This window comes from Homo sapiens, chromosome 10 (genome assembly GCF_000001405.40).
Source record: "Homo sapiens chromosome 10, GRCh38.p14 Primary Assembly".
NCBI classification, from domain to species: domain Eukaryota; kingdom Metazoa; phylum Chordata; class Mammalia; order Primates; family Hominidae; genus Homo; species Homo sapiens.
In genome coordinates, this window is record NC_000010.11 from 67,422,669 (window position 1) to 67,438,206 (window position 15,538).

At 35.1% G+C, this 15,538-nt stretch overlaps 1 protein-coding gene across 7 annotated transcripts in view; it reads right to left on the reverse strand.

The window, feature by feature from the left end:
* The window catches only part of CTNNA3 (catenin alpha 3), a 1,851,072-nt gene that overhangs the window by 1,510,146 nt on the left and 325,388 nt on the right, over positions 1 to 15,538 (reverse strand). The window lies entirely within an intron of this gene.

Consider the following 15,538-nt stretch of genomic DNA (forward strand, 5'->3'; position numbering starts at 1 on the left):
ACATTCTCATTCACTCTCTCTTTCTCCTGCTCCACCATGGTAAGATGTGCTTGCTTCCTCTTCACCTTTTGCCATTACTGTACGTTTCCTGAGGCCTCCCAGCCATGCTTCCTGTACAGCCTGTGGAACTGTGAGTCCATTCAACCTCTTTTCTTCATAAGTTACCCAGTCTCAGGTAGTTCTTTCTAGGAGTGTGAGAACAAACTAATACACTCCCCCAAAATATTAATCTGTCAAAAGGAATAGAGGAATGTTCTTTCTAAAAGGCCTAGTAATTAAACAAACAAGAAAAGGTTGATCTTTTAAATAGAGGTGATTTCCAATATACTCTTAGATTTTATGCTCTTTGGTAAATTTATTATGCAAAGTGATATGAAAGCCTAGATTTATTTGAATATATTAAGGAATTTTCTTTAAATAAGCCACCCAAACAATTAGGCTTTGCATATATTTGTGGTAGACATCCGTTGTTTTACCTGCTAGCATCTCTTAGTCCTTCTTCAGGAAACAGCACCTCTCTCCTCCCTCCCCAACCCCCAGTTAGCACTCTGCCCTTTCATCACTTCATATGACTATAAATGCTGTCAATATTTTCACTTTATCTTTCTCTCCTAGGAGTAGCACACAACCTCAATTGACCAACCAGAACATCTTGTCCCAAGATTTTACATGACCCAGGCAGAGCCAATAAGAATGTTTAGAGATATTGACATAGAAGAAAGAGGGTAATTATCAGCTAATAAAAAGAACCATGGAAGCCTAAGGTTTCAAGGAACTCGCTTTGCTACCTCATAGAGAAGTCAGCCTGAGAACAGAGCCAACTCAGAGGAAAACAACAGCTACTTTGGGTTGTTTTCCGAAGACAAAGATTTATCTAATTCAAAAAGATAGACACTAAACACTTTTCAGTTTTAAATCAAATTCAAAATGAGAACTAGAATATTCATTTTATTTTCTTATTGCAACCTTCTCCCCACCAAACATACCACAAAAAGAAATGAATCAACAACACAATAGTAATACATGAGACAAAGTTAACATTATTGATGATTGATAATGGAGTGTATTATTCTCTCAGATTCATAGAACAGGGCCCCACCTATACAGGCAGTGCCAAGAAAAGGACTTGGCACATAGTGTGCTCAATCAATGTTTGCTGAATAAATGAAGGTCGGGGACTCTTCAATCTTTACAAGTTACTATTGTTATCAAAAACGAAAGTGCCTCAAAATAATAACTGATAGAGAATGAGCATATCATCTTCCCTTAGAAATATATTCTAAATTTCAAACATAGCTCTTTCTGGATCTTCTTATTATGAAAGCATAAATGCTGTTCTAGTCAGGAAAAAGAATCAATAAATACTCAAAAAATTACCAGGACCTACAAAATGTGGGTCAAATGTCAATTAACACAGTCAGCCCTAATGAGCTGTTCTGTTACCATCTCTCACCTTCACCCATTATCTGTAGGTGTGCGACTGATGAGGATGTTTAAATGAACAGATAAAGGGGTCCCTGCTTCTATACATTTCATATTACTGTTGACATTTATCACCAAGCTTTCAACCCCAACTGTCTTTGACAATAGATTTTAAAAGATAATAAAATTCTTCAACAGGCTTTCAATTCAATCCTCTTGTCATTGTAACAAAACAGCACTAAAAATGAAACGAAAGCCAGATATGACAGAAACTGCTGAGGAGCTAAGGATGTATGATCATTCTTTTTAATGTTGATATTTACATATGAGTTTTTGCTTTTCCTACCAAACCATAAATAAAAATTTCAATAGAAAATAAATAAGTTAATTCATTCTTCTTATCAATATGGTTTCTATAGCATTTCATTTATTAATACCTTTAAAGATAACTGAAGGATTCTGATTATATAACATTTGCTAAGGCTTCAAGGTACCCTAGATAAATTTTCCAAAAACTTTCTTTTTTATATTTTGAGGCAAACAATTTCTAACTACTATTTCTTTCCAAAACAGAAAAAATAGAATCATCATTATACTCAATAATTTTCTTCCTAGCACTTAACTCTCTAAACAATTATTTCTATATTTATTTGTCTAATTATGCTCATCGACTAAATTGTAAGTTCCATGAACAGAGATTGTGTTTGATGATGTTGTCAATCTTTGTTACCCAAGCATCAAACCTGGTCCATAGTTGGTGCTCAATCAATGTTTGTTAAATGAATACATAGGTCTGCTAACTTTCCCACTTCTTTTGAAAATACTCAAAAAACATTTAATTTAATCCAAATTCATTCAGTCCCTAATACTATTTTTAAAAAGCGTGTATTAGAAATGTTTTCGGAATTAACTGGGGGCTTAGACATCAGTGTGTCACTCAAAGCACTTAGTATAATGCTTCAAAAGTACTCCCTAAATGTTAAATTGAAATAAATTACATGTAATAAAAGTTACTTTGCTTCTACCTGTGAAATATAAGAAAAATTTAACAACATAGCAAAACTAAAAGATGTCTTAATTAACTTATTTTTGCTCATTTTGTGGTGTCTTTCATTCATTCAATATTTATTGAAGGCTTATACTCAGCCATGTAGGTGCTAGACATACCCAAATGGATGAGATATAGTTTAGTGAAGGAGACAGGTGAACAAACAACAATGGTATAATATGAAACCTCTGTAATAGAAGTATACACAAAAGAGCTGCTGGAGCACAATGCAGCAGAGAGGCACTCTCAATGACAGGAAGGAAGAAAGTTTCAAAAAGAGATGGGTGATCAGGCAGAAAATAGGAAATTATTAATTCCATACAAAGAATATAGTACATTCTTGGTTCTGCAGAACTGGAATGCTTTTTCTCTTCATCTGTTTTTTGAAGAGGAAAAAAAAACCGTGCAGAAGCAGGGTATAGCCACTAGGAATTTACTTTTCCTTTATTTGCTATCAAATATGGTGGCAAGCAATATCCATATATTAGCTGCTTTGCCTCAGCCCGCCATCTGAAGGTAGGGTTCTTCAAGTGCCCAAATGGTGCAAAATCTCGAAGCTGATATCACTCACTCCATAATGAGATGAATCACAGAGGGGTCTTTTGCTACTCACAGCTGGGCCACTGTGGCCATGCATCACCACTCATAGAGAAGGGGGATGGAGAGAGGTGTTATGACCGTTTTTGTTGCTTTTTGTGGAGTGAAAATTATCAGCCTATGGTGTTTTCCAACCACAACATTCTTACCTCATATACTCCTCCATGCTGCAGAGAGACATCCTGTTTCTGGGAAGGGCCTTGAAGACTAGAGACCTTGGCTTATTTGAGAACTAGGGTCACCCTCTGTTTATTGCATAGCCCTATGGGGTGTCACAGGTCCTAAGGAAGAGACTTTCCTTAAAGGTCATAAAGCATAAAACACACACGAGTGTTCCAGCGCATGAAATGTTCAGAGATCAGCAAGAATTCCCAAATGGGTAGAAAAAACATAGAACAAATGAGTAGAAGAAGCAGAAAATGACCTTGAACTAACATATGAAGAGATTTATATTCTAGGATAATGAAATTATTATGACTTTATCCTCCTAGCAATGTGGAACCAACAACACTTTTGAAGCAAAGAAATGGAGCAAACAAATATGTCTGGCTGATAACTATGGTGGTAGCAAGAAAGATGGATTGAAAGAGAACCTAAAAGCAAAGGGGAAAACTATTTCTGATTTCCAAGTGCAACTTATTAACAGTTCCTCATGAACTGTAGATAGGAAATACACAAAATTAAAGCAAATGATGCTGTTTGTAATAATAGTAAGTTGTAATAGAAGAAAGAGTAGAAAGTTGGTAAAGGATGAGTTCATGTCCTTTGCAGGGACATGGATGAAGCTGGAAATCATCATTCTGAGCAAACTATCACAAGGACAGAAAACCAAACACCGCATGTTCTCACTCACAGATGGGAATTGAACAATGAGAACACTTGGACACAGAGCAGGGAATATCACACACCGGGGCCTGTCGGGAGGTGGGAGCCTGGGGGAGGGATAGCATTAGGAGAAATACCTAATGTAAATGACGAGTTGATGGGTGCAGCAAACCAACATGGCACATGTATACCTATGTAACAAACCTGCATGTTGTGCACATGTACCCTAGAACTTAAAGTATAATTAAAAAAAAAAAAGAAAGTTGTTAAGTAGTAGCAACTTGCAAGGAAATCTTGAAATAAAGATGCAATTTAAATAGCTAACTACTTAGTGCATTTATGATACATGCTGAAAATTTTCAATGTACAGGAAGAAACAGTATTTTTTCCAGATTCAGTCATCAAGAGACAGTTAACTTAATTTTGAAGATGAGTTTTCATTTCTTATTATTTAACTTAGTGCGTGGTAATTAATTTTTAATTTATAAATGAACAGAAACCAGATGGTTTCACTTGATGGCTTTAACAAAATTACTGTATGTCATTAATGATTCTATCTGATTCTTTATGGGTACCAGGCATCTTTTGGGGGATGTTTAAAAGATCTACCAATTTTGCTTCTATAAAAGGCTAAATAAAGGAGGGGTGACTGGGCACACAGTATGGCTAGTTTCTCCAACAGTCCTCACTCCCAAGAGTGAGGAGATCTGCTTCATATACAACTGTCCTAGAAAATCCACTCTGAGTCAAAGCCCCAAATAAGTTCCTATATTCCTGGAGAATCTTCCTGGAGGGAGATATGCCAGGGGAAGGGAGTACTAAAAAGTGTAATGTTGTGATTAGATATGTCATATTGTTTGATATCATTAAATAGCAATTAGATATTCTTGCCTTAAACAAAATTATGTCATGTTTTGGCCCCTTCTCTTTGTAAAAATTCAAAAAACTCATATTACTGCCGAGAAAGCTCACTGCCTTCTCGAGATTATTTTTCCTCTCAACTTAAACTGTGGATGTAGATACTTTTCTCATACGTATTATGTGTATATGAATATATATAATTCTTATATAAAGTAAACTAAGATCCAAAATATTTAACTCTGTTAAGTGCAAAGTCTCATTTTTATAAATCAATAAAATGACCAGGGCAAAAAACTAGACAGTGAGCTGGGGGTCTGAGGATTCAGATCCATTCCCAGCTGAGCTTTGACACCACCTGTTGAAGGCTGTCCTCACCAGAGTTCAGTATGCATGGGGATGATTCTGGGCCCAGAAGATGGGTGGACTTGCAGAAAATAATGATGCTTACAGAAGACCTCCCAGTTGGTTAGCTCTAGTTCTGTTAGTTCAATAGAGGGAGACAGCTTAGTGAACAGTGAGGTCTCAAGGTCCACCTTTCATCTCCCTGCTTCTAGAGAAAAAATTTTCCCATGAAAAGTCTTCTTCCCCCTCAGGTCTCCCATAGAAATTCAGTCCACTCTTTTGAGAACAAGGGTTAAGAGGAAAATAGGACCCAATTTTAAATTATATTATATCCAAGTAAGAATTCAAAACAATTAACATAAACATTCATGAACAGCCTTCATATGGATATAAGATATTGAATATCCCTTGACTTGACAGTACATATGTAGTAGTTCAGAAATAACAATTGGCATCCTAGGTAAGTATGATGAATTAAATGCTCTTATCAAATTCCATAGTTTACCTTTATAATTTTGGAGTAATTTTAGTATTTACAACATTTTTCTACTATAATAATATACAATAAAAGGAAATTATTTATATATCATTAATGAGTTGAAGACACGTAAATGAACAAATCATTTTAAAATGGGCCTTAGTAATAGAATTAGAGAGATGTAAATTAATTAAGAAAATACTTTAATAGGTTTTTCCAGGAACACAACTAGAATAATTGTAGTTGTAAAGGGAAATATTAGCATTATAACATAGCTTAATAAATGGACAAATACCTGGGGAGATGAGTTAATTACTAAAGTAGTTTCATTCCAAACATAAGTGACTGTGATGGTTAACACTGAGTGTCAACTTCATTGGATTGAGGGATACAGATTATTAATCCTGGATTTGTCTGTGTGGGTGTTGCCAAAAGAGATTAACATTTGAGTCACTGGGCTGGGGAAGGCAGATCCACCTTTAATCTGGTGGGCACAATCTAATCAGCTTCCAATGAATATAAAGCAGGCAGAAAAATGTGAAAAGGGGAGAGATGGGGCTAGCCTACCAGCCTACATATTTCTCCCTTGCTGGATGCTTCCTGCCCTTGAACATCGGACTCCAAGTTCTTCAGTATTAGAACTCAGACTGGCTCTCCTTGCTCCTCAGCTTGCAGACAGGACCTTGTGATCATGTAAGTTAATACTTAATAAATGCCCATTTATATATATCCTATTAGTTCTGTCCCTCTAAGAGAACCCTAATACACTAATACAGTGACACTTTCTTTACTCCTGCAAACCTCAAATAATATACTTCTTCCAGAACTTGATTATGATGTTTGTTTTTATCCTTACTTGGATATGGCAATCACACATTAACTCTACGAATTAGTTTTTGATTTGTGTTTGTCTAGTATTAAGTTACTTACTAGAACTTTGGCCCCTCCTTACAAATAAAAGCCCTAAAATTATCAAAATCAACCCTTCAAACTTTTCTCAAATGCTTTCATTAAAATAGATTAAGAATAAAATGATTTAGTTTGCATCCATATTTCTCCCATATTCTTATATATTTTACATCTTTTTTATAAAAGGCAAAGAGCCTGAATAGAAATAACAAATTACAATTTGACTATAATAGTGGTGGTGCAATGCTATCAATGAATAAGTGTATAAAGACCCAGAGTTCTGTTTTCTTAATAATTTTGAGGACAATTAGAAGAGATTAATGATTCCCCAAAGCAAGAAATACAGGCATTTATTTGTGTTGTATATAGTTAGCTAAATAGAACTCATTATTAGCTAGTAGAACTCAGCAACATTCCAAAATAGTCTGATCATTATTTATTTCCATTTGTATTTGCTAGAAACAGAGAAACAAAAGGCAACATCAAGAAAAAGTATAAAAACATCCAAATCCCTTATTTTTGCCTGATCAATTGTGTAGGTTTTTTTCTACATGTCGAGGCCTTTTTGATAAAGCAAATTGTCTATCAGAGCCCAATCCAGCATCTCTCCACTCCAAACTGGTAAGGCAATTATCTAGAAGACTATTCTCCTGAGAAAACCAATTATAAATGTTCTCTCAAAGTAAGTAAGCATACCAATTTGGATGCACATGTTTTTTTGGTTAGCACTTAAAAGAGAAACAAAAAAAGTGTGCTGAGAAAAAAAGATCTCTGTCTCTCTCACTCGACACAAACCAAAGAATCATCAATTGAGGGAATTACCAAGAATTAACTGATAAAGGAAAAAGACTTCCATTGATAGTTCTCCATAAAATTTATTTTTGGTGAGAAGAGTATATTACTTTCTCTTGGTTTGCTCTGCCAAATCTCTTGTCCAAATCCTTTATATTTCATTTTCAAGCAATGCTACTTGGCTCCCACCTCTATAGTCCTCCTACTCTTAAACATTCCAAATATGACCAAAAATACAATGTTCTTTATCTGTTGCTTTAGCCACGGAAGTAAACAATTCACAATTACCCAATTCAGCTCAAGGAGCACAGTTGGTTCCTAGAAAAGTGCTAGATTAGAAATCTAAAGACCTGGACTGTAGTCTTGGATATAAATTTACCAGCTGTGTAATCAAGGCAGTATCACTTCAACTCCCCTAGTGTCCATTTTCACATATGTTAATGGTGGAGGTTGAATTGGACTAGATGTCCTCTAAAATCTCTTCCCATTAAAAGAAGTATGGGATCTTATTATTGTGATTAGGAACTTCTACTCCAAAGGGCAATTTTATATTTAATAGTAGAAGGAAATGATATATTTAATAGTACCCAGAATTTTTTTTTACTTTCCTAATACAAGGGAGATGGAAGGAGATAATAGGAAAATGGTTATGATCCCCTCCTTCATGTATACTCAGGTCCAGGTCATTCATTTATTCAAAAATAGTTATTAAAACTTGGTATGTGCTAGACATATCAAGCATTAGACAACAGTAAACAGGTGTGAAACATCCTTTAATGCAGCTTAGGGTCTAATGAAAGATTAAAATACTGTATATGCAATTATGGGCTGGAAAAAATGGTCCTCTTTTAATGAATGAGCATGACTCAAACATAACTACACACACACACACACACACACACACACACACACCCTCACACATTTCGCCTAAAAAGAAAACTGTTCTCCAAGTGGGCAAGAAAATCACCTTTTGTCCCCAGCCTAAAGATATTATCTTTAGCAAAGATAAATAAATTTGTCATTCTTGCTAAATTCCTCTGAGTTTGTTTATAATTGAAACTTCAGATAGCTCCTTAAGTTAACAAAATGGGTAAATGGCATTAAGCATGAATTTGACCATTAAGGGAAGGCTATTGTCCTGTTGCTCCTGCCTATCATCTTTCTCAAACTGTCATAGGTATTTTCACCTTTGGATATCAGTTGAAGTCAACCACTAATGGACTATATTAATTTTTCTTCTGATGTCAGCAACTGAAGGAACAAGTACATCCCATGCCTGAAATGGAAAAGGATGGTGGTTATCAGTGCAGCTTTATTCCCTAGGAACTCTAAACTTGTCTTGGAAAACAATTCCCTTTGCAGTTTTCAGGGTCTTTGACCGCAGACTTAACATATCTCAGAATCAGAGTATCTGCTCATGAACTACCTTTACTGGTTGTTTCAGGTACTCTTCTAAATGCTTTAAGAATAGGGACTTATTTAGTCCTTCTAACAAACCCCATGAGATAGATACCTATGTTATCCTAATTTTACAGATGAGCAAGCAGTTCTCACAGCTTGTATGGCAGAAATAGAATTCAATCCAGGTAGTCTGGCCCCATGTAGATACTTTTAACTATGTAGATACGGGTACAAAATGCAGCAAATGACAAGAAGATGCAGCCTGAAGGGTACACTGAGAATATGAAATAACCCAAAATGGACTCTGGGGTAACATGTACAGCATTCTTATTATATTAAATACCCATTAAACCAAGATGAACAAATCTCCTCTTGTTTAAGAGACACAGGGTTAGAAGTGTTAATTTTTTTAAGGAATATAAATAAGATTGAAAATGAACCCACATGGCTTAAAATGAAATTAATCAAACAGGAGCCTTTCCAAAAATGGAAGCACTATCTCATAGGGACTTTAATCCCATAATTCAAAATGGAATATCATTCCCCAAAACATGTTTCTCCTCCAGTGTTCGTATTCCAGTTATGGCACCACTACTCTCTTAATTAGAAACCTGGGAACCATCTGAACTCCACCTTCTCCTCCAACCCACATATTCAACCTATAATAACTTAGATTCAAAAAATGAAATTAAAAATATTTTGAACTGAATAAAAATGAAACAGCATTTCAAACTTGCAGGATGCAACTAATGCAGTGTATAAAGGAAAATTTATATCGCTAAATGCCTATATTAGAAAATTAAAATGGTCTGGAACCAATTAACTAAGCTCCCACCTTTAAAACTAGAAAAAAATCAAGTTAAAGCCAAAATAAACCAATAAGAAAGAAATAATAAAGATAAAATTAGAAATTAATAAAACAGAAAATGTACACTTACATTAAAAATTTCATATATGTTTCTGCTAAAAAACTTTAGTACCTATGTTTCTATTAGTTTCCTGAGGCTGCTTAAACAAATTGCTACAACCTTTGTAGCTTAAAACAACGTAAATTTATTCTCTCACAGTTTTAGAGGCCATGAATCCAAAATCAAGGTGTCAACAAGGCTGCACACCCTATAGAGAGATGCTGTAAGAGAGAATCTCTTCTTTGCCTTTTCCAGCTCCTGGTGGTTCCAGGTGTTCCCTGGCCTGTGGTGCTATCACTCCGGTCTTTGCTTCTGTCTTCACATCACTTTCTCCTCTATGTGCCTGTGCCAAAACTCTCTCTGCCTTTTTCATATAAAATACATATGATTGCATTTAGATCCCAACCAGATCATCCAGGATAACCTCATCCTCATGAGATCCTTATAATGTGATCACATCATTTACCATATAAAGTAACATTCACTCTTTTGCCATATAAGGTACTATTCACAGATTCTGAGGATTAGGACATGAATTTATCTTTTTGGGGGTCACCATTCAGCCCATGACAACGATCATGAGAGATATAGTTTTTCTTTCTTGCAATGTTTCTGTCTGATTTTGGCATCAGGGTGATGCTGACTTTATAGACTGATTTGGGGAGTTTTTTCTACAATTTTTCTAGAAGAGTATGTGTAGCACTTGTATTATTTTTTAAATATTTGATAGAATGCATTTTTAATTTCCTTCATGAACTTTTCCTTTGCCTTCACAACTTGGCTGTTTGGCACAAGAGGCCCAGCTTTCAGCCTGTCTTAGATTTTGACATACCTTCCTCACTGAACTTAACTATTTTTAGCTTTTTACTTAAAGTGAGAGACATGCAACTCTTCCTTTCATTTGAACACTTTGAGGCAACTGTAGGGTTATTAATTGACCTAATTTCAATGATTTTGTACTTCAGGTAATAGGGAGGCCCAAGGAGAGAGACACAGATGGGGAAAGGCTGGTTAGTAGAGCAGTCAGAACACATACAGCATTTGTTAAGTTCACCATCTCAAATGGGCTTGGTTTTTGGTCCCCAAAACAATTACAGTAGTAACATCAATGAGCACTGATCACAAATCACCATAAAAATGTAATAATAATGAAAAATTTTGAAATATTGCAAGAATTACCAAAATGTGACACAGACAGGAAGTGACCACACGCTGTTGGGAAAATGGAGCTGATACACTTGCTCAATACAGAGTTGCCACAAACCTTCTATCTGTAAAAAATGCAGTAACTGCAAAGTGCAATAAAGTAAAGCACAATAAAACGAGGTATGCCTGTGTTTCTTTGTATTGCCTTTATCAAACACATTGAACATTTACAGTAAGAATTCAATGTATTGAATGTATCAAATTAATATGTATGAAAATATGTATTGGATGAATATATCATGAAAATGTATTGAATAAATAAAATGAATGAATAAATGAACAAGTGAATAAACAAGTGAAAGTTCCTGTCCGTGCCATCATCATATATTCCTTAGACACCACTTCGCACAATAGCTTTAAGTGGACAAATATGAATCAACCCTAGCCATACCACCTCTCTAAAAATGAAGTGTTCAAAAAATTATTTTCCTGAAGTTTATAATCCTACATCTACTAAGTACTAGGCAGTCAGAACTGCCTGGATTTCTTGAACTTCCCTCTCCAACACACCCTTTCTCACCTCTGAGATTTCTATCTAGCCTGGGTACAATCTCCTCAATACACTTTTATAATTTTGACATTTCAGTGACATTTTCATTTGAACCACATATTAGTCTTTCTTGTCTCCTCTATTAATCTGAAACTCCTTCAAGACAGGCTTTTGACTATTTTTTAATATATTCCTAAAACCTAAAAGAACAAAAGAGCCACAGCTTTGGAATGAGTCAGACCTTAATTTGAATCCTAAGTGTTTCTGTTAACTTGCAAGCTGAGTAGCCTTGGGTAAGTTACCTCAACTCTCCATCTCAATGTCCTCATTTGAAGTTGGCAATAATAGTATCTATCTTGTAAGGTTGTCATTAGTACTAAATAGGATAAGGTCCATAAGCCCCTATCACAGTTTCTAGAATACTAATAATGCCATCAATAGTACTTAAAGTATGGGTGCTTAATGAACACTACAATTATTTTTCCTTTAGGAAAACAGAAAGCTTCACAAGGTACACATTTTAACAGTGTCGAGATTAAATCTATTTAAATCCAGAAAGCATCCCCTATTATTTGCTGAATGGCATTTACTGACTATAAAAACTCAGGCGGTGCTATATATCCATATATGTGTGTGTCTGTGTGTATATGTTTAAGCCCATTGTAATAAAGAAATTGCTCAATTAGACTCAAAGAATTGCCTAAAATATGTACTGCCAGCAGCTCAACTATATTCACACCAAAACCCAAGCGACATCATGGAAATTTAAAGCTGAAACCTATAAGGAATCCTAAAAAGCACCTGATTCGCTTCTTCATTTTTCTGATAAGGAACCTGAGTTTGATGAAAGTCATGACTTACCAAGTCAGCATAGTGAGTACATAGGAGAGCCTTGTTGCTGCCTCCCAGATTTGAAAGTATTACTGTTTCATATCTAAACCCACATTCCCTCTATCTTCAATCACCTGAGTACCTGTGAAATCAGAAAGTAACCTTAGCAATAATAAAGGAGTAGATGTATATACAGGTAGCCTCCGAAGCAGTGTGATGTTATGCCTATTGTTCCGATATATTGCTATAGGAATCTGCTCCATGTTCTACAATTTACAAATAAAGCATTTCTTTTTGTTATGTATTCAAATGTTCCTAGCTTTTTCTTTCTCTCATTGCCTTTTATTTGTAACTAGTGCTCAGACATAAAGGTTTCTTTTTCTATTAAGTTTTAAGCCCAATTTCAACAGTAATTTCAAGTGTAATTACTGCTCCTTTCTGGCAACAGCTCTGAAGTAAACCCACATTCATACTGTTCAGCAACATAGACAAACTCAAACATCCATACATCCGCTTTCACATTTTACTCTTAAAGACTGAATTTGAACATACCTTAATGTAATAAAAGCCATCTGTGACAAACCCACAGCCAATATAACATTGAATAAGGAAAAGTTGAAAGCATTCTCTCTGAGAAAGGGAATAGGCCCACTCTCACTGCTCCTCTTCAACATAGTACTGGAAGTCCTAGCGAGAGCAATCAGACAAGAGAAAAAAAATGAAGGGAATCCACATCAATAAAGAGGAAGTCAAACTGTCACTGTTTGCTGACAATATGATCGTTTACCTTGAAAACCCTGAAGATTCCTCCAGAAAGCTCCTAGAACTGATACAAGAATTCAGCAGTTTCTGGATACAAGATTAATGTACACCAATCAGTAGCTCTTCTATATACTAACAGCAACTAAGCAGATAATCAAATCAAGAACTCAATCTCTTTTACAATAGCTGCCAAAAAAATAAAATACTTAGGAATATACCTAACAAAGCAGTCGAAAGACCTATACAAGGAAAACTACAAAACACTGCTGAAAGAAATCACACACAACACAAACAAATGGAAAAACATCCCATGATCATGGAGGGGTAGAATCAATACTGTGAAAATGACCATACTGCCAAAGACAATCTACAAATTCAATGCAATCCCTATCAAAATACCACCATCATTCTTCACAGAGTTAGAAAAAACAATTCTAAAATTCATATGGAACCAAAAAAGAGCCTGCATAGCCAAAGCAAGAGAAAGCAAAAAGAACAAATCTGGACACATCACACTACCTGATTTCAAACTATACTATAAGGCCATAGTCACCAAAACAGCATGGTACTGGTATAAAAATAGACACATAGACTAATGGAACAGAATAGAGAACCCAGAAATAAACCCAAATACTTACAGCCAACTGATCTTCAACAAAGCAAACAAAAACATGAAGTGAGGAGAGGACACCCTTTTCAACAAATGGTGCTGGGATAATTGGCTAGACACAAGTAGGATAATGAAACTGGATCCTAATCTCTCACCTTATAAAAAATCAACTCAAGATGGATTAAGGACTTACACCTAAGACCTGAAACTATTAAAATTCTAGAAGATAACATTAGAAAACCCTTCTAGACATTGGCTTAGGCAAGGATTTCATTACCAAGAACCCAAAAGCAAATGCAATAAAAACAAAGATAAATAGCTGGGACCTAATCAGACTAAAGAGCTTCTGCACAGCAAAAGGAACAGTCAGCAGAGTAAACAAACAAACCACAGAGTGGGAGAAAATCTTCACAATCTATACATCTGACAAAGGACTAATATCCAGAACCTACAATGAATTCAAACAAATCAATAAGAAAAAAATAAACAATCCCATCAAAAAATGGGCTAAAGACATGAAAAGACAATTCTCAAAAGAAGATACACAGATGGCCAACAAACATATGAAAAAATGCTCAACATAACTAATTATCAGGGAAATGCAAATCAAAACCACAAGGCAATACCATCTTACTCCTGCAAGAATGGCCATAAGCAAAAAATCAAAAAACAGTAGATGTTGGCATGGATGCGGTGATCAGGGAACACTTCTACACTGCTGGTGGAAATGTAAACTAGTACAGCCACTATGGAAGACAGTATGGAGATTTCTTAAAGAACTGAAAGTAGAGCTACCATTTGATCCAGCAATCCCACTAATGTGTATCTACCCAGAGGAAAAGAAGTCATTATTCGAAAAGATACTTGCACATGCATGTTTACAGCAGCACAATTCACAACTGCAAAATCGTGGAACCAATGCAAATGCCCATCAATCAATGAGTGGATAAAGAAACTGCAGTAAATACATAGATGGAATACTATGCAGCTATAAAAAGGAATAAATTAACAGCATTTGCAGCGACCTGGATGAGATTGGAGACTATTATTCTAAGTGAAGTAACTCAGGGATGGAAAACCAAACATCATATGTTCTCACTGATATGTGGGAGGTAAGCAATAAGGACCCAAAGGCATAAGAATGATACAATGGACTTTGGGGACCTGAGAGGAAGACTGGGAGTGGGGTGAGGGATAAAATACTACAAATATGGTGCAGTGTATACTGCTTGGGTGATGGGTGCACCAAAATCTCACAAATCACCACTAAAGAACTTACTCATGTAACCAAATACCATCTGTACCCCAATAAATTTAATAAATACCCCAATAAATTTAATAAATACCCCAATAAATTTAATAAAATTTAAAAATATAAAAATTACACAAAAAAACAACTAATTTTAGAAATGATCTAATCATGTAGGAACTACAACCTATGTAACTGGCCATTTGAGTTGTAATATAAATTAGTAAAAATTTTTCACTTTGTCTTTCTTTTATCAATTTCTTAGTAAGAAAAAAAGAAATAGAACTTAAATATTCTTAGATATTTTTAAGGTTGATGTGGTAATTAGTTTTATAACTTTTTTCTGGAATGAAATGAAAATAGGAAAAAAGAGCTGTTTTAGCTAACTTTCTGACTGGGTATAAAAATGGTAAAATAAGCCTATAATTACTTTTTCTGGAGAAATATGAAATAAAAGATTTAAATTTGCTAAAGAAAAATACTGAATTTGAAAGGGCAACAAATAATGGCTTGGAGGAAAATAAATTAAGATAAAATAATTATAAAAATGGTAGAATTTTGGTATAAAAATGGTAGAATAAGCTTATAATTACTTTTTCTGGAGAAATATGAAATAAAAGATTTAAACTTGCTAAAAAAAAAGAAAAAGACTGCATTTGAAAGAGCAACAAATAATGGCTTGGAGGAAAATAAATAAATTAAGAGGAAAGGGTCAGGGAGCACTACCGACTCACAGCCAAGTTGTTTTTCCCACTTACTGGCATAAGCAGTACTTGGCAGTTTGGGCATGATGGGAATGTTCCCACC